This window comes from Homo sapiens, chromosome 9 (assembly GCF_000001405.40).
Source record: "Homo sapiens chromosome 9, GRCh38.p14 Primary Assembly".
In the NCBI taxonomy this organism is placed as follows: domain Eukaryota; kingdom Metazoa; phylum Chordata; class Mammalia; order Primates; family Hominidae; genus Homo; species Homo sapiens.
In genome coordinates, this window is record NC_000009.12 from 76,545,648 (window position 1) to 76,566,015 (window position 20,368).

Consider the following 20,368-nt stretch of genomic DNA (forward strand, 5'->3'; position numbering starts at 1 on the left):
AAAAGACATATTTTGGGGTTGCATATTCTAGTCTCCTACAGTCATATTTTGGTGGCATATATTTGGTCTCACACATGGATAGATTAATTTCTTTTTCTATTTCCTAGTTCAATGATAGTTGGATCATTTCCAGTTTGGGGCAGTTATGAATAAAACTGCTATAAGTATTTGCTTATAGTATTTTTTTGTGTGTGATGGAGTTTTGCTTATGTTGCCCGGGGTGGAGTGCAATGGCATGATCTTGGCTCACTGCAACCTCTGCCTCCCGGTTCAAGTGATTCTCCTGCCTCAGCCTCCTGAGTAGCTGGGATTACAGGTATGAGCCACCATGCCTAACTAATTTTGTATTTTTAGTAAAGATAGGGTTTCTCCATGTTTGTCAGGCTGGTCTCGAACTCCTGACCTCAGATAATCCGCCCACCTTGGCCTCCCAAAGTGCTGTGATTACAGGCGTGAGCCACCGTGCTCGGCAGTGAACATAAATTTATGGGTTTGTGTCAACATAAATTTATGGGGAGTTTTTGGGTAAATACGTAGAAGTATGGTACATACTCTTACCATATGACATGGTACCAAGTCATATGGTAAGAGTATGTTTAGCTTTATCAGAAACTGCAAAAAGTGGTTGCACCATTTTGCATTCCTACTGTTACTGGCAGCAAATCCTTAGGGATCGGCAGCAACCTCAATTCTTGCCCCCTCAGAAGAAAGAATTCAACCCAAAAGGCATAAGGAATGAGAGAAGACCAAGACAAGTTTTAGGGCAGGAGTGAAAGTTTGTTAAAAAGCTTTACAAGAGAAATTAAAGGAAGTAAAGTACACCTGAAAGAGGGCCAACCCGGCAACTTGAGAGATCAAGGGCACTGTTTGACCTTTGACTTGGGTTTTTTTTTGTTTTTTTTTGAGACGGAGTCTCACTCTGCTGCTTAGGCTGGAGTGCAGTGGTGCCATCTCGGCTCACTGCAACCTCCACCTCCTGGGTTCAAGTGATTCTCCTGCCTCAGTCTCCCGAGCAGCTGGGGTTACAGGCACCCGCCACCATGCCCGGCTTATTTTTGTATTTTTTTTAGTAGACATAGGGTTTTACCATGTTGGTCAGGCTGGTCTCGAACTCCTGACCTGAGGAGATCCGCCTGCCTTGGCCTCCCAAAGTGCAGGGATTACAGGCGTGAGCCACCGCACCCAGCCTGACTTGGGGTTTTATATGTTGGCATGATTCTTTCTTGGGGTGGGCTGTCTGCATGCACGGTGGCCTGCTACAACATGTGCAGTGTATTTACTGGAGTTGTATGCATGCTTACTTGAGGTAGTCTTCCCTTACCCGTTGAATGCTTCTAGAAGGTCTTATACCAGTTAAACCACCATTTTGCCGCTTAGTGCTCATGTTTGAGCCCACTCGCCCAACTCCTGAGATCTTATCGGGAAGCTGCTGATCACGCAAGTTTTTTTCTGTCTACTGGGAGACTACCTTTCCCTGGCGCTAGCTGGCATCAATTATTATTTTAGAGAAACAATGTAACAGTCACCTGACCATCACCTGATGATTGCCTAACATTCCTGGTGGGGTTGGGGGAGCCCTCTCCTGCCCAGCTCATGTCTGACTAGCTACCCACTATAACAGAGCTAGCATTGTATACAAGTGACAATTGTTCTGCATCTTCAACAGCACTTAATATTATCATTTTTAAAAGTCAGCCATTCTAATAGATGTGTAATGGTATATTACTGTGGTTTTAATTTGCATTTCCCTGATGCAAACTGAGTTTAGCATCCTTTCATGTGCTTATTTGCCATCTATATACCTTCTTTAATAAAGATCTTGTTCAAATGTTTTGCCCATGTTTTTACTTTTATCTTTTCTTACTGTTGAGTTTTGAAAGTTCTTTATATATTCTGGATGTGAGTTCTTTGTTGTATATGTGTTTTGCCCATGTATCCTTCATAGCCTGTGGATTGTCTTTTCATTTGCCTAAAGCTACCTTTTATGAAGCAAAAGATTTTAATTAAAAAAAAAAAAAAACATAGAGACAGGGTCTTACTATGTTGCCCAGGCTAATCTCGAACTCCTGGGCTCAAGCAATCCTCCTGCCTTGGCCTCCCAAAGTGCTGAGATTACAGGCGTGAGCCAGGCGTGAGCCAGGCGTGCCTGGCCCAGGATTTTAATTTTGGTGAAGTCAAACTTATCACTTTTTCTTTCATTGATTGTGCTTTGGTTGTCAAACTGAACAAGTCCTTTCCTAACCCAAGCTCACAAAGGTTTTCTTCTAAAAGTTCTAAGTTTTCCATTTAGATCTGGGCTCCATTTTAAATTAGCTTTTTTTTTTATAACATAGGAGGCATAGGAAGAAATGCAATGTTTTTGCTTATGGATGTCTGATTTTTCAGCACCATCAATTGAAAAGATCATCCTTTCTTTGAATTTCCTTTGTCCCTCAGTCAAAATGGGTAGAGCTGATTTGTGTGGATCTGCTTCTGGACTCTACTCTGTTGCACTGATTTGTGTTTGTGATTTCATGTCTCACCAATATCAAACTATCTTGATTACTGCAGCTTATCACAGTAAGTCTTGAAGTCATAAGTATAAATTTATCATCTGTTTTTCTTTTGCAAAATTGTTTTCTCTAATCTCTTTCCTTTGCCCATCATATAACTTGTAGCATCAGCTTATCCATATATACAAAAAATTTCTGATATTTTGCTTGAGACTGTGTTGAACCTATAGATCAATTTGGGGAGAATTGACATGTTAATATTGAGTTTTTCCAATTCATAAGCTCACTCTTTTAGTTTTCTTTTAAGACTGAAAAATTGCTAAGAAGAGTGGTGTTGACATGACAGGTTTAAACCAGTGTTTTTGCCTTATGATCCATTAGTTGGCTGGGAAATGAAATTCAGTGAATCAGAGTCATCATTAGAAAATGAAATAGAAGAACCATACCAGAGCATAATGCACATTACAAAGGTGAATATTATTTCATTAAGTTTTCTTTTCCATTTTCTCTAAAGTTATGTAGATGCATGTGTGTGCTAGGTTGCCATGCAAAGTTTGTTTCTTACTCTAAGTCGTAGCCTAAAATGTTTTTGATCTTAGATATAATTCTGAAGATAGAGTCATCTTCTGTAGTGAATTTTTTTCTTTTTGAGACAGTATCTCATTCTGTTGCCCAGGCTGGAGTGCAGTGGCCTGATCTTTGTTCACTGCAGCCTCCACTTCTCCCGGGTTCAGTGATCCTCCCAACTCAGCCTACTGAGCAGCTAAGACCACAGGCATGAGCCACCATGCCCAGCTAGTTTTATTATTTTTGCCCAGGCTAATCTTGAACTCCTGGCCTCAAATGATCCTCCCCCCTCGGCCTCCCCCAGTGCTGGGATTACAGACATGAGCCACAGTGTCCATCTGTAAGTTCTTATAATTTGTTGTTGTTGTTGTTATTTATTTCTTATTTCATAATAATAAACTTAAGTCTGCAATCCAGCTGGGCATGGAAGGAAATAAGGAAAATATGGAACCCAAAAGAACTGAAGTGAGAACACAAAGATTATAGGATACTATGAGCAAATGGGGTGGAAAGGTGCTCTCCTGAGCTACAGAAGGAATGGTCTGGTGGTTAAGATAAAACACAAGTCAAATTTGTTAGAGTTGTCCACAGTCAGCAATGGTGATCTTCTTGCTGGTCTTGCCATTCCTGGACCCAAAGCGCTCCATGGCCTCCATGATACTCATGCCTTCTTTCACCTTGCCAAAGACCACATGCTTGCCATCCAACCACTCAGTCTTGGCAGTGCAGATGAAAAACTGAGAGCTATTTGTGTTGAGTCCAACATTTGCCATGGACAAGATGCCAGGACCTGTATGCTTCAGAATGAAGTTCTCATGATCAAATTTCTCCCCATAGAGTGACTTGCTGCCAGTGCCATTATGGTTTGTGAAGTCACCAGCCTGACACATAAACCCTGGAATAATTCTGTGAAAGCAGGAACCCTTATAACCAAATCCTTTCTCTCTAGTGCTCTGAGCATGAAAGTTTCTGCTGTCTTTGGAACTTTGCAAACAGCTCCAAGGAGATTCTGCTTAAAAGCTCGCTGATGATGGCGATGTTGAAGAACATGATGGGGTTGACTATGGCTGGTGGCAGAGGGCTCTGGGAGGCATCGGCGTCTGCAAAGCCGAATTTGTATTAATTTCATGTTGCCTCAGCATTCATTTTCAATATAAGTTGGAGTCACTCATACTAGAAGCAGGGCTTAGACGTCTTTGACACAGATTGCAATTCTTCCAAACTCTACCTCTTCCCAGTTCCTCAAGGTAGGTCAATCCAGATACGCGCTTTATACAACTGCCTCCTGGTGACCACCTTTTTATGGGATGGCTAGATGCAACCTACTTGACTTACCCCACTGACCCCCCACGCCGTGGGTGGACTGCCCAGATATGCCACAGTGATCACCTCTTGGTCACAGTGTGACTTCATGGACCTTGTACCTGCTTGCTATAAACCCACCAATTAGAACTCATCATGGGAAACCTGCTTGGGTAACATGCTGGACCAGAATAAAGGCTTTGCCCCAGAGGTCTCTTTCTCTCTCTCTTGCTATCCCCCTGCTGGTTAAGTGTGCATGTTCCAGACAGCTTTCCCCCTTTCTTTTGGCCCTGCAAGGCGTGCTGCCCTCTTCCCTTTGGAATCTGTTAGTAATATACTGCTCCTCTGTGTTTCATCTGACCGACACAGCCAAACTTAACTTTTGTCCTGGTCAGCGCCCTCCTAGAGTCTGGCTGTCTTGGTAGAAAGAAATTGGACACAGTTTACACAAGAGCCACAAGGGCATCTGCCAGTATGAGCAAGTTTCCTGTGGGAGGGACCCCTGCACGTGGGTCAGACACTTAAGCACCAGGATTTGAAAGGGTCCTGTGAAAGGCACAGTATAAACATCCACGACCACCTCCCCTGGAGCTCCACCTGGCACCTTCCTCTAGCCCTGCCCTGCCCTGCCCTGCCCTATCAAAGCAGGGATAAAGTTTATAGCCACTCTCCTCAGAGAGGCCTCAATACCAAATTAGAGGAAAACATAACACCCTCTATGGTGGGTAGAGACCTAAACAAAATATGGGTCTGTTAGGAAGAGAGAAGTAACAGATGTTGAATACTCAAGCAACAGAGCTTGCTACACCTCCTTTCTGTTTTCTTTCCTCCATGGCTAATTCTTTCTTTCTGTACTTTCAAACTCCAATGGACAAAAATGTTTCATTGTACCCAACTTAAAGGATCATAGACATTCATGCAAACATAAATCTTCTATTGCTGTCAAATTAGGAGGAACTAAAATAAAAATTAACTATTAATCTCTTTCGGAAATATATAATGAAAATAAGGACAGCAATCTATGACAATCACTGCTAGGCCCCCCAAAAAGAAATCAGTTCTATATTTCAGATGGATGTTAACAGACAATTAATTTGACAAAGCAGAGGATGTTTCTAATCATCAGTGCAATATCTCCACACTGACACTATTTAAAAATCAAAGCATATTGTATTAGGTTCCTACTAATTCACTGTGTAAGCCATAAGCCAAAGGTAATGAATGTAGTTTTGTGGATTATCAGAAACAAAACCTTTGAAAATAAGAGTGGAATTTTGTTGTCAAATAACATTTCTTGGCACTTGCCCTGTTAAACCAAGTCCTTAAATCTCCCAAGCAATTTATGGACTGAGTTTCTATCAACTTACAATACACAATTTTTGATACAAGATTCACTTCTAAATATCAGGACACAATGAGATTTCACAAACTTGAGAAACAAAAATTGCATTCTAAAAAGCTTACAACTAAATCTAGAGGTAAATGTTTTCATATGCTCAGTTCAAAGTTCTTAGCGTGTGGTGCTGTGTGATGCCCTGCTTCGTGTTCCCTTTAGTACAAGGATGTACTGAGTGACCTACCTCGAAGCAGCCCCCGGCATAGGAGTAGACTGTATTTGACTAGACAATTCCCCCATAAACACAATATTTAATCTGTTTCTAATTTGGCCAAAGGTTTCTGCAACAAAAGTCTCTTTTTTCCTTGGTTGTTTTCTTCCCTGGAAAATTCAGGGGACTTACACAAACCACCCCATGGGTACTTCTTTGCATTATACCTGGTAATTAGGAGCCAATTACTTTTTGTTTTTTTTTTTTGGCTGAAGATCAGATTACTTATTTGGTAAATATAAAGGCATGTTTGTTTCACATCCATACTAAAAGGTGTTAGGGGGCAGGCATAAAAACCTGAAGCAAAAGAAAACAACTCTAGGATCTACTTTTTAACTCAGAATCAAAATTCCCTTTTTTTTCTTCCAGATTAATTTCTGTGCTAGCTAACTTTTGGAAATTTACACATAAACATTTACTTAATTTTAAGGCCATGCCATAATTTAGTGGACAGAGATACTAAGCATTTGCTGTATTTCATAGTAAATCTCCAACGCTTATCATTTCAAATGTTTTTAAACACTAAATAAGAACATAATAAAAGTATAACATGCCTCTCTTCTAGATTGTCCTATATGCTGAGACATCTGAATAACTGCATTGCCTCAGTTACATTTTATAACATCTTCTCCCCAAATAATTTAAACACTCTCCAAACCCCCTCTCCTCCACTGCTGTTTTTCTATCTTGGTAGGAGGTTTGAAGTGTGACCTCAGTGTACTTTGAGCTCAGATCTTAGAGAGACTCTTTCCAGCCCAGTTTCAGGAAGTACCCATGCCTTTGAAATCACAGGATCACAAACACCAATCTGGAATACCATTGATTATCAGGGTTAATGACATTTTTAGAGGTGTTTGAATAACTGAAGGAGGAACTTGGAAACCAGATGAATGGGGGAGGAGGTATAAGGAGTAATAATGGTTGCTTATCATATTCATGGCACCAAATAACATTTTACGTACATTATTCCGTTTTAATTGTTACCTATGAGGTCGGTATTATTTATTCTGTAAGTATTTTGGAGATTAAGTATATTGACCAACATTATCTCAAATATACTCTTAATCTTCTTGAAAGTAGAGATGTCTTGCTGTTCCTCCTTGTATCTTTGAAATTTAGAACCTTGGCACATAGTAGGTTCTCAATACATATTTACTGAATAAATAAACACACGAAAGAATCCAGTGATCAAAGTGAAAGAGCTAGGATTAAAACGTGGGTCTTTCAGGCCTTGCAATCTATTCTCTTATACTCTTTCCACTACATTCCATAGCATCCTCACAGAATAGGAATGGCTGTCTTTCCTGCATGTTAATTTCAGTGCTGAGGACTCCTATTGGCTCTTTTCCCTGTGGGCGTGGCTGGAGAGGCCAATGGGCCGCAACTTGCATCTACAGACTCTCACTTTTGATTTTGTTTAGGGTATCTTCCAGGTGTTTCTTCAGATCTTGAATTTTTGCCATGTTTGGGTTTTCTATTATAGGGAAAATACTAAATTGCGCATTGTAGCAGAGGGAAACAAGCTGGTGGTGGGAGCGGATAGAAGAAAATGAAGACGGCTCCAAACCTGGGGAGCGCGCAAGAAGATGACACAAACTTTTGAAATAACATGAACACGTGGGTTTCCTTTTTCTTGTGCAACTGCTATTTGTTAGCAATCCTCTCAATTTGCAGTGAATTGAGGGTGAGGGAAGAGGAGCAAATCACACAGTGCAAATGAAGACATTAACATGCAGATGAGGTGAATCATTCTTTTTTCAAAGCAGAAGATCAGGTCCCATGTAAGCCGAAATAATAATAATACTTACAATCAAAGGAAGCAATATTATTTAGTTTATTGATGACAGGGGTTGAGGGGAGGGAAAGATACATGATGTCTTTACTTCTGTCCAAGTCACAAACAGGTAACTTTCTAGTCCTCTGTTCGGAATTCCTTGCAGCAGAATGTGGAGATGTCTAGCAATTGGCTGAGATTTCTTTCTAAGGCAAAGCATGAAAGTGAAGTAGAAGGGAAAGTGTGGCAGAGAAGACAAAGCACCAGGGCTTATACAGAGCCCAAGAGGGCTTGAGATTCTGGCTGGAAAACGCCATCCCTATCATGGAGGGAGAAACAAATCCCCGAGTGTGGCTTCTGTACAGGAAGCAAGAGGCTAGTCGCTGGGGAGGAAAGCCAATAAGCCTCAGTGCCAGTAAGTGCTGTGTTTAAATCTTTACTAAATGCAGTCACGTGTTTTAATGTTGGGGATGTGTTCTGAGAAATGCTTCATTCGGGGTTTCTTTGTGGTGTGAACACCATAGAGTGTAACTTACACAAACCAAGATGGTATGGTATAGCCTACTATACACTTAGGCTATATGGTATCCTAGGCTGCAAAGTTGTATAGCATGTTACTAAACTTAATACTATAGGCAGTTGTAACACAGTGGTGTTTGTGTATCTAAAGATAGAAAAGGTACAGAAAAATATACAAAAGATAAAATATGTACACCTGGCCAGGCACCATGGCTCATGCCTGTAACCCCAACACTTTGGGAAGCTGAAGCAGGAGGATCATTTGAGGACAGGAATTCTAACCCAGCTTGGTCAACATAGTGAGACCCTGTCTCTACAAAAGAAAAATTAAAAAATTAGCCTAGTGTGGAGACTGGGCTACTGGGGAGACTGAGGCAGGAGGATTGCTTGAGCCCACGAGTTTGAGGCTGCAGTGAGCCATGATCGTGCTACTGCACCACAGCCTGGGTGACAGAATGAGATCCTGTCTAAAAACAAAAATACACCTGTATAGGATCCTTACCATGAATGGAGCTTGCAGGTCTGGAAGTTGCTGTGGGTGAGTCAGTGAGTAAGTGGTGAATAAATGTGAGTACTGTACACTACTGTAGACTTTATAAACACTGTACACTTAGGCCACATTAAATTCATTAAAAATTTTTTCTTCAATAATAAATTAACCTCAGCTTACTGTAACATTTTCGTTTTATTAACTTTTTAGTTATTTTTAACTTTGTGTGACTCTTTTGTAATGGCACTTAGCTTAAAATACAAACACATTTTACAGCTATACAAATTTTTTTTATATCTTTATTCTATACACTTTTTTCTATTTAAGAATTTTTTTTTAATTTTTAAACTTATTTGTTAAAAACAAAGACACAGACACACTAGCCTAGGCCTACACAAGGTCAGGATCATCCATATCATTGTTTTCCACCTCCACATCTTATCCCGCTGGAAGGACTTCAGGGGCAATAACACTCATGGAGCTGTCATCTGCTATGAAAAGAATACCTTCTTCTGGAATACCTCCTGCAGGACCTGCCTGAGGTTATTTTACAGTTAACTTTTAAAAAAATATGTAAGTAGAAGTAGTACACTCTAAAATAATGATTAAAAGTATAGTATAGTAAATACATAAACCAGTAACATAGACATTTACTATCATTATCAAGTATCATGTACTGTATATCATTGTATGTGCTATACTTATTTTTTTTCTTTGAGATGGAGTCTTGCTGTATTGTCCAGGCTGGAGTGCAGTGGCACGACATACTATACTTTTATAAAACTAGCAACACAGTAGGTTTGTTTACACCAGCATCATCACAAACATGTGAATAATGCATTGCACTACAATATTATAAAGGCCACAACATCACTAGGTGACAGGACCTTTTCAGCTCCATTAAAATCTTATGGGACCATGTTGTACATGTTGTCTGTCATTGACTGAAACATTGTGTACTTGTTTTGTGGTTAGAGTAAGTCCCTTAATATCTCCAACCCATCATTACTAATTTTGTGCTTGCCATGGTTTGAATGTTCCCTCCAAAACTCATGTTGACATTTAATTGTCATTGTGACGGTATTAAGAGGTAGAACCTTTAGGAGGTGATTAGGTCATAGTTACATAGCCTTCATGAATGAATTAATGCCATTATTGCAGGAGAAGGTTAGTTATTATTGGAGTGGGATTTTGATAAAAGGATAACTTTGGCCCAATTTCCTATCTCTGTCTTTTTTTTTTTTTTTGACAGAGTCTCTCCCTGTTGCCTAGGCTGGAGTGCAGTGGCGCAATCTCAGCTCACTGCAACCTCCACCTCCTAGGTTCCAGCAATTCTTGTGCTCAGCCTCCCAAGTAGCTGGGACTACAGGTGCATGCCACCATACCTGGCTAATTTTTTGTATTTTTAGTAGAGATGGGTTTCGCCATTTTGATTGTACTGTTCTAGGTTGGTCTTGAACTCCTGAGCTCAGGCAATATGCCCACCTCAGCCTCCCAAAGTGCTAGGATTACAGGCATGAGCCATCGCACCCAGCCCCTATCTCTGTCTTGAGTACTAAATTTTACCTTCAGCCATGAGAAAACACAGAACAAAGGCTCTCACCAGATGCCAGTACCAGGCCCTTGGACTTCCCAGCCTTCAGAACCACAAGCCAAATACATTTCTATTGTTAATAAACTGGGTATTCTGTTATAGCAGTAGAAAACAAACTAAGACTGTGCTCCAGAAAAACAGTATAAGGTGTGCCCTCAACTGACATTGTCATCCATGTGGCTTATACGGATGATGCATGCTCATTGTCCCTTTCTATTTTATAGAGTTAGTCTCACTAAATATGTGCTCTGCTCTGGTGTTTGCTGCTGAAGCAGTGTGTGTGTGTGAAGTCAAGAAGCACATAAGTACGTTTTTTAATTGCACAATTAAAGAAATCATTATTTAAAATATTTCTCCTTTTAATTTTAGTTCCTCAGAAGACATTGCTTTAGTCTCCCCTCTTGAATTACTTCTTTTCCTGTGAAACTAAATTTCTTCCTCTATATAATGGGGAATAAATAATTGTTAGCTTGCTTGATACATATTACCTTCTAATAATCAGTAGCTATAATAATAATAATGACAATGACAATATGGGTTTTGTGAGGCTGAAGCCTTTCAAAAACAGAACATACAGAATTGACAGGTGCTGCTACTTTCTGCAGAACAGAGAAATTTTTCCTCTTGGACAGAAGAACTGAAAGCTGACTTGTCTTCCATAAAAACTGTGCTGTTAATGACTTCTCAGCAAAATGGTTTTACCAGGTTATGAACAATTTCTTTTTCTGAATATAATAAGTTTTCACCCCAAACACAATAACTATATACTCAATGAGAACTGTTAGTTTGCCATTATGGTTTTAGACAGACACACTCATTAATTCACTTGACACAACAATTTCTAGTCAGATAACATCACTGTGCACCATGTTTGAACAAACCTACACATTTTGCTTTGCTTAAGTGAGCCAAGCAAGAAGAACGAATGGGTGGTATCTTCTAGGATTCTTCAGACTTGTTATTCATGTATATTATTACTTTGTGTTTCAGAGTAATCTTGCTTTTAGCCTTTCTTTGGTTCTAAATGTGTTATTCTGTGATATTATCTTTTTTAAAGATAATATTTATATTTAGATAACCATGAGCCATAAGAGGTTGAAAAATATGTGAAAAAATTGCTTGAAAAAATGCACATACCAGTGACTTTCACCCACCCTCCTCTGCCACTCACCACATGTTCCCAAGATTTTTCTTCATTAATTTGCACTTGATGTATAGTCTGTATTTATTTACTTTCCATTTATGCTCTATTACTTATTTAAACTTGCTTTCAATGGTCAATTGATGTGCTTTCTATCTCTGGAAATTGCTTAGGTATCTTGCTTTGGTCAAGATAGAACACGTCGTAATTTTCCAATTACAGTTCATGGAAATATTTTTCATATAATGGCTCTCCAGAGCATCAGGGTTTATACGAATGAGTTAAAGTCATTAAGTGAAGGATAGGTTAGAGAGTTAAACACTCTCTATAATGTGATATGTTCCATCAACTCCAAGAGCTGAAAGCCTTGGAGAAGGGAGAAAAGACAAAGAACACATAATTGTCTCTTGACCTTGGGTCAAGACACCACACTCTGGTATTCCTCTTACCTCTTCACATTCCAATTCTTCTCAGTCTCTCATACTGTCTCTTCCTGCCTTTCATGACTTCAAAATATGAGAGCCCCAGGCAGTGGTGTGCTGGTAAATATTTGATAACTGTTTCTATTGGAAGGAGGGGGACCATGATGTGTAGTGTTTGCCAGTTTTCATGGTTCAATCATGTCCACTATGGCTGATTCCAAGCTATTAGCATGATGTCACTGAATGGGGAGTTGAGAAGAGATGTGTTCAATTAGAGGGGCTGATTACTAAACCCTAGGGTCAGTGGTGAGCCAGCTCCAACTCACCACTAGCCTTAGGGTTTAGTAATCAACCCCGCCTTTTAAAGAAAATTTATAGTCATTCCCTGGGTGATCTCAGCAAATTCCATGGCTTTGAATACCATCCATATGCTGATGAATCCCAAATTAGATCTTATGCCCAATCTATTCCATTTGCACATATTCTTATCCAACTGTCAACTTGACATCTTCATTTGAATGTCTAACAGGCATGTGAAATTTAACAGGAGCAAAACAGATCTCTTAATTTCATCCTTCCTTGCCTTTAAGTCTTCACCATATCTCAGTAAATGGCAATATCATTCACCCATCATTCAATTCTAAACCCTCAGAATTACCTTTGACTCTTGTCTTTCTCTCATACTCCATGCCCCACTCATTAGCAGGTTTTATTAGCTGTGCCTTTAAAATTTGTCTCAACTCACACTGATGCTCAACCACCACCTCCAATCTCTGCCACGTAATCTAAGCACAATTTCTCTCCTGTGATTGCATCCCTGCCTCCATTCTGTTCCTCTATAGTCAATTATTTAAAGCAGCCTCAGTGAGCCTTTAAAATGTAAATCATATCCCATCCCTCCCTTGCTTAATACCCCCCAATTAGCTTTTGATCATATTCAGAATAAAGTTCAAACCCTGCCACCTTCCCTAAGCCTTTACTAGTTCATTGGTTTTGCTAGCTCTCCAGTGTCAGCTCTTTCCACTCTGCCTTTTGCTTACCCTGCTTTAGCAGCACTGATCTGCTTACCATTATCAACACACCAAGTTTGTTCTGGGCTCCAGATATTTGCATTTCTTTACCCTCTGACTGGAAATATTTCCCCAAAGCCTCTGCTGTGGTTTGAATGTCCTTGCCAAAACTCATGTTGAAATTTAACGGCCATTGTAATGAAATTGAGAGGTGGGGACCCTAAGAGGTGATTAGGTCAGGAGGGCTCAGGATTCACATTGTTATCATGGGAGAGGGTGTCTGATACAAAAACTGAGTTCAGACCACTTCCCTCTCTTGTCTAATGCACTTGTTTCTGCCTTTTGCCCTACCATCATGAAATGACCCTCACCAGGTAGCCTGGCAGATGCTGGGGCCATGCCCTTGGACTTCCCAGCACCAAGAACCACAAACCAAACAAACTTAAGAACCATAAGCCAAACAAACTTATCTTATTTATAAATTACCCAGTCTGTGATATTCTGTTATAGTGCAAAAAATAGACTGAGACATTCTCTATCTCATATCTTCACATCATTCACCCCATTGAGGTTTTTTACTCAAATATTACCTCGTAAGAGAGGCTTTCCTTGACTGCCACATCCCAAAGGGTCCCTGTTGCCCCCCTCTACCATCCCAATACCTCTGTATCTTCTTTCCATGCTTAATTTTCCTTCATAGCACTTATTTCTATGTGGTTTATATCATTTGTTGATTTTTTTCCATGGGGGCTGGTATTCATCATGTTGAGTGCTAGATTCCTGACACCTATAAAGGTACCTTGCACACAATAGGTGCTTAATACATAATTTGATGAATAAATAAATAAAATGAGAAGTGAAACCATCTACTCCCACACAGCTTACCATCCATATCAGGGGTTGGCAAACTTTTCCTGTAAAGGGCCTGATAGTAACTATTTTAGGCTCTGTGGCCATATGGTCTCTTTCATAACCATTTAACTCTGTGTTTGTAGCATGGAAGCAGTCACAGACAACATTTGAAGGAATGAACATAGGACTGCTCCAATAAAACTATAAAAACTGGGCATGGACCAGATTGGGCCTTTGGGCTATGGTTTGCAAACCCTGGTGTTGGTGAAACTGATTGTACTATTTGGCTTCATGAATATGACCTTATTCCTCCTCTGTCTTCATCACCATGATTTTTCCACTCCAGGAACCTCTTGCTCAGAATAATAAAAGTTGCAAATATCTTTGGAAAAATTTATTTGAATGAACATCATACTGTGGAACCCTTCACTGAATTGTAACAAATGGATTTTCTCTCCAAGACTCTTCAAAATTCTGTCTCAAAATTCTTGCCTTGCTGTGTCTACCAGTCCTAAACTACTATATCTCAAGCTCCTGCAATGAAAAGCTTGCTTTCATCCACACCCTCAAATATCATCAATATTCCAACTTATTTTTCCCTACTCAATGGCGAAGATGGTCAAGGTAGTGATCTCCCTGAGTGCAGTAAGCAATTAACTTCAGTGCTGTGTGCTAGAATTTTCAGAGTCCACCATAGTGAAGGGCTATCCCAGAGGAAGTTATCATGTTGTTTCTGTTGCTTTTGCTATCATGATTGCTTGGCCTCCAAATTAAAGGATATACTAATTCACTCATTCATTAACAAATATATATGTTGAGAGCTTATTACACACATGTCCTCATGCCAGTTAGTCTTGATAGACATGTATAAGTAAAAACCAGGCAACTTTGCTCTGTGGAAATATGATAGAAAAAGATAACCTTTCCTCCAGTGATTAATGACATTTATGTTTACTTTCTGGAACTTTAAAAAATTGTGTCACCAGGGATTTTGACATGGAAAGAAACATTTACTCATTAAAATCGAGAGCTTCTTGGTTTCTTCAGTCTCCTAGGTTCAATAATCCACAAGTCTGCAACTCATAGTGCATATATCCAGGAGTTTTCTGGAGGAATGCCAGGCATGGCTGAAACAGCAATCTTTTGACCATAACTACTGGGGGGGGAAAGCAGCCCTTGCTGTAATCATCGTTCATAAAAACTCTGGAATTTACTTGCACAAAGAGCTCATTGAGAGCTGACAGTTCTGCTACAGCCATTCCTTTCTTTCCAAGGAGGAAGCATCAGAAAAATGAGTGGCCCAGCTTGTGCCATTTCTGCAAAGGGAGTGTTCAAAAGTCGGTGCCTTGGGTATCAGCAGGCTTGGCTTCCCAAATGGGTGGAGGTAGCAGTGTGGTCCTGGGGAGAGTGCCCGAGACTCGAGTCAGGGCCTAACTCTGCCAACTGAGGTGAGTCACTGAGCCATGCAGGGCCTCTATGTCCTTGTCTTGGAAATGGACATGGGAAAACAGTAGCACCTCATTTACAGGAGGCTCGTGTTAAATCAGCCAAGAAGATGGAGATTAAATTGTTGTATAAGTCAGAATCTCTTTACCAGTGCTAGTCGCTGTTATTATTTCATTAAGGCATGGTTAGAGTTGCCATTTTAGCAGTTTTACAAAAGACTTCCCTCTCACCCCACCCTCAAAAGTCTTCCCCGTAGTGCCAGGATTTCTGTCAACAGAAAAGCAATCTTTCTTTATCCTATTTATCCTCTTCTTGTTTGGACTCTTTTAAAATGCAAGCACCTCCCCAAAGGCATAATACATCAAAGTAATTCATACTAACACAGATGTGGCTTCTTGAATGCTTTGTTTCTCTCAGGAGGGATCAGGTGGTTAAGGATGGATAATGAAGAAAAAAAAGATTACTAAAAAGCTAGGAAAAGTCATTTTAAAAAGGAGGAATGCCCACAGAATAACAGAATTGCCTTAGCCTTGCAGAATTAAAAGATTAATGGTTTTTGAAGTGAAATGTAGGCAGGTTCCTTTTATATAAAATAGAAAAAAATCAAAGCTATAGTGGGAGTCTCAGAGTCTCACCCACCATCTCAGCCTCACGCTGATCCCTCTACAGCCCACAGGCCTCTCTGTGGAATCCCAGGGCTCTGAGAACAGTTTGAAAACCACTGCTGGCTTACCCTCCACATTGCAGAGGCAAAATGACCTCCAGGAAGAGAGATGGAAACAGCCACTCTTCTAATCAAGTGCTGGTGGCCCTACATAAGAACAAACTAATAATAATCAACATTTATTGAGATCTTACTAATCCAACGCTCTTTGGCTAAATCATATGCATTATCTGATTTAATCTCCAAAACAACCGTATGGGGTAGGTACTAATTTCCCTCCCATTTTACAGATGAGGAAACTGAGGCTTAGAGAGGGTAGGAAAGTCAGACTGAAGCCAGCTACTCCCTTCTGTCATATTGTTTTTGAAGAAAACTTTTATTTGTCCCTCTCTGCCCCTTGGCACCACAGATGTGATCTAGAATTTCTGTAGAACATATATTTAGATTTCAGTACAAACATACATTGTTTTTAGCCTGGATTGATATTTTAGAAGAGGAAGGAAGAATTTGAATTAAAATAGAAAGTTCTTTTGTGGGTGTAACAAGTGAGTGAGCATACAGGCTTAGGCACATGATGAGGTTCTATTTTCCCCCTATGTTGCCAACTCTGGGTCATTATTATTTTCTTTTCAAACCTAGCTTAAGCTTACTGAGTAAATGAAGAGGGGGAAAGTTGACATACTGCAAATAACAAAATACCCCACTTTAAAATCTGAAATTCATAGCTGGACCTGGTGGCACGTGCCTGTAATTCCAGTTACCCAGGAGGCTAAGGCAGGAGAATCACTTGAACCTGGGAGGTGAAGGTTGCAGTGAGCTGAGATCATGCCACTGCACTCCAGCCTAGGGGACAGAGTGAGACTCTGTCTCAAAAATAAAATGAAATAAAATAAAATAAAATCTGAAATTCCGATGGAAGAATTACTCTGCAAAGCAAAACAACATTAAGTGCTGTTACTGCAAAAAAAGAAAACAAATCTGAAACTAAGCTCATCATGGAAACTTTTAAGTGAACTCTAAAAGAGAGAAAGAGAAGGAAAGAAACCCAATGAATAAGGGCATTCTTCTTTCAGTTTAAATGTGCCAGAGAGAAGTGAAAAATACTTGATTCTCTCACTGGCAGGAACAGATAACCATTTTTGTATTAGTCACCAGCAAAGTCATCATTTACTTGGTTTTAACAGCTTCAGAATTATGAAATAGTAGTATTTCAAGACTCTGAACATTCTGCTTCAAGATGAGCCAGCCTCTCTTAGAGATAGAAAGATGAAAAAAATGGGGCAACTGACAGGCAGGCAGCTCATGCTGGTTTTTGAGTTATTTGTCTCATTCTTGTCTATTTGCAAGAGCTTGTTGCATGTTACAGACACTGACCCTTGGCTTTGGCATGACACATTTTTTTGAACTTTTTTTGTCAGTTGATTTTGTACCTGGCACATTTTTCAGATAAGGGATTTGTATCTGTTTATGTTCAAATATTTCTGTTTTTTTTTTCTCTTAAGTTTGTGGGATTCCAGTCTCTGTTAAGAAGGTATGCCTCATCTCTAGTTTGTACATACTCTAGGTTTTCTTACATGATTTTTTTGTTTTAGTTTGCATTTGAGACTTCATTCTTTTCTTTTCTTTTTTAAAATAGAGATAGGATCTAGCTCTGTTGCCCAGGCTACAGTGCAGTGGCCCAAACATAGCTCACTGCAGCCTCAAACTCCTGGGCTCAAGCAATCCTCCTGTCTCAGAAAGTAGGTGGGACTACAGGCACATGTCACGATGCTTGGCTACATTTAAATTTTTTTGTAGAGATGGGGGTCTCACTATGCAGCCTGGACTGGTCTTGAACTCCTAGCCTCAAGTAATCCTCCCGCCTCGGCCTCCCAAAGTGCTGGGATTGCAGGCTTGAGTCACTGTGCCCAGCTCTGAGCCTTCATTCTTTATGTAATTTATACCATTTTGTATTGTGTGAGACAGAGGTCTACTTTTATTCTCTTTTTGTGACTTGGTAGTTGTGTTAGCATCACTTATTAAGTAACCCATTCTTTTTTCCTTGAGTTGAAATAACACTTTTGTCAAGTGTTAAATTCACACCTGCATGGTGTGGAAGGGACTTGAAAAGGTCCTTCCCTTCTGGGACCCTCACCCCTAGTGGCTTTGATGCCCATCAGAAGATCAGCTGAGGCCAGGCGCAGTGGCTCACGCCTGTAATCCCAGGACTTTGGGAGGCTGAGGCGGGTGGATCACAAGGTCAGGAGATCGAGACCATCCTGGCTAACACGGTGAAACCCCATCTCTACTAAAAATACAGAAAATTAGCCAGCCGTGGTGGCAGGCACCTGTAGTCCCAGCTACTCGGGAGGCTGAGGTAGGAAAATGGCATGAGCCCGGGAGGCGGAGCTTGCAGTGAGCCGAGAACACACCACTGCACTCTAGCCTGGGCGACAGAGTGAGACTCCGTCAAAAAAAAAAATTCACACATATATTGAGATATCTTTCTGGATTCTCTATTCTGTTCTACTAACCTATTTATCCCTCCAAAGTACTATGTAGATTTTATCATAATGCCTTTTAAGGTGCCCTCCCCACTTACTGTTCTTTTCCCTATCTTCTTGGCTATTCTTGGGCATTTATTGTTCCATAACAATATTAAAAATCTTATTGGTGTTTGTGTTAGACTGATAATGTGCCCCCTTCAATCCTTATGATATGACCACTTCCCAGTCCATTGAACCTGTGAATGTTACGTTATATGGCAAAAAGGACTTTGTAGATGTGATTAAAGCTAATTATTTTGAGATGGGGATGTGATCCCAAATTATTCCATGGATTCTAAGTAATCACAAAAAATCCTTATAACAGGGACAAGGGGAGTCAGAGGCAGAAGAGAAGGTGTTGTGATGACAGAAGCAGAGATCTGAGTGACTCACTTTGAAGATGGAGGAAGAGGTCACAGGCCAAGTGATACAGATGCCAGGAGAAGCTGAAAACAGGAGGAAATGGATTCTTCCCTCAGAGCTTCTGGAAAAGATCAGTCTTGCTGATAACTTGACTTTAGCCCACTGAAACTGATTTTGAACTTTTGACTTCCAGAACTGTAAGAGAATAATTTTGTGTTATTTCAGTTACTAAGTTAGTGGCAATTTGTTATAGCAGGAATAGGAAATTAATACAGTGCTGAAGTAGAAGTTATGTTGCATTTATATATTAGTTTCCTGAAAACTGACACTTTTATAGTATTTGTTTTCCCATTCAAGAACATAGTTTCCTTTCTTTTGTTCAGACTCTGTTTTACTTTTTTCAATAAAATTGTGTGTGTATGTGTGTGTGTCCCCATATGGGATTTGCTTTTTCTTGCTATATTTATTCTGAAATATTTTATGTTTTACCATTGTTGTGAAGGAAATATTTTTCCATGTTTCTACTTCTATGTACTTATTGTTAAGATATAGAAAAAGCTGACCGGGCACAGTGGCTCACACCTGTAATCCCAGCACTTTGGGGGGCCGAGGCGAGGTTAGTTAGAGACCAGCCTGGCCAACATGGTGAAACCCCATCTCTACCAAAAAATACAAAAATTAGCTGGGCATGGTGGCATGTGCCTATAGTCTCAACTACTTGGGAGGTTGAGGTGGGAGAATTGCTTGAACCCAGGAGGCAGAGGTTGTAGTGAGCAGAGATCATGTCACTGTACTCCAGCCTGGGCAAACCCTGTCTCATAAAAAATAAAATAAAATAAAATATATGGAAAAAGCTATTAATTTAAAAATATTTATTGTTTATCCAACTGTGTTAACAAATTCTCTTAGTATTTTATTTCCTGTAGTAGCTTTTTACCAGTCACTTGAGTGGTTTTTTGTTTTTGCTTTTGTTTTAACGATCACACCATGAGAAAAACAAAGTGTTTTATTCTTGTTTTCGAATGTTAGTCAATTATTTAATATTGCTGTGTTAATGTGATTGAGATCTCTTCCAAGCCAATGTTTAGTCATGATGATGGTGAGCATTCCCGTGTAGTTTCTGTTCAATTAAAATGGCTTTAGCATTTTGTGCTTTGGGATACTATTGGCTATTGGTTTGGTAAATAGCCTTTTATATTAAACAATTTCTTTAATTCTTATTTTATTCATTAGGTATGGCTGCCATTTTACCGAATAATTTTTTTTTTTTTAGACAGGGTCTCATTATTGTTGCCCAGACTCATCTCAAACTCCTGGCTCAAATGATCCTCCCACCTCAGCCTCCTGTATAGCTGGGATTACAGGTGCATGCCACCATGTCCAGCTTTACTAAATAAATGGTAAGTACTTAAAGATATGATCATACATCCTCCTTCAAAATATGGTGTAATAGATTATACTGATAAACTCTCCGGTACTGAACAACCCGTAATTTCGTGGAAGAAGTCATGGTCTATCTTTTTTTTTGATATGTTACTGGATTCTAATTAGAAATGTTTTATTTAGATTTCTTGAATCTATATTCATGAGCCTGTCTACA

The 20,368-nt window shown here is 39.8% G+C and overlaps 1 long non-coding RNA gene and 1 pseudogene across 1 annotated transcript; one reads left to right on the plus strand and one right to left on the minus strand.

Moving 5' to 3' along the window:
* Positions 1–3,437: 3,437 nt before the first annotated feature.
* Positions 3,438–4,166, minus strand: PPIAP87 (peptidylprolyl isomerase A pseudogene 87; annotated as a pseudogene).
* On the plus strand, positions 12,274–20,081 carry LOC105376093 (uncharacterized). Its single transcript, XR_007061584.1, has 3 exons — positions 12,274–15,218; positions 18,731–18,965; positions 20,042–20,081. It is a non-coding gene; the product is annotated as an uncharacterized LOC105376093 (long non-coding RNA).
* Positions 20,082–20,368: the final 287 nt, after the last annotated feature.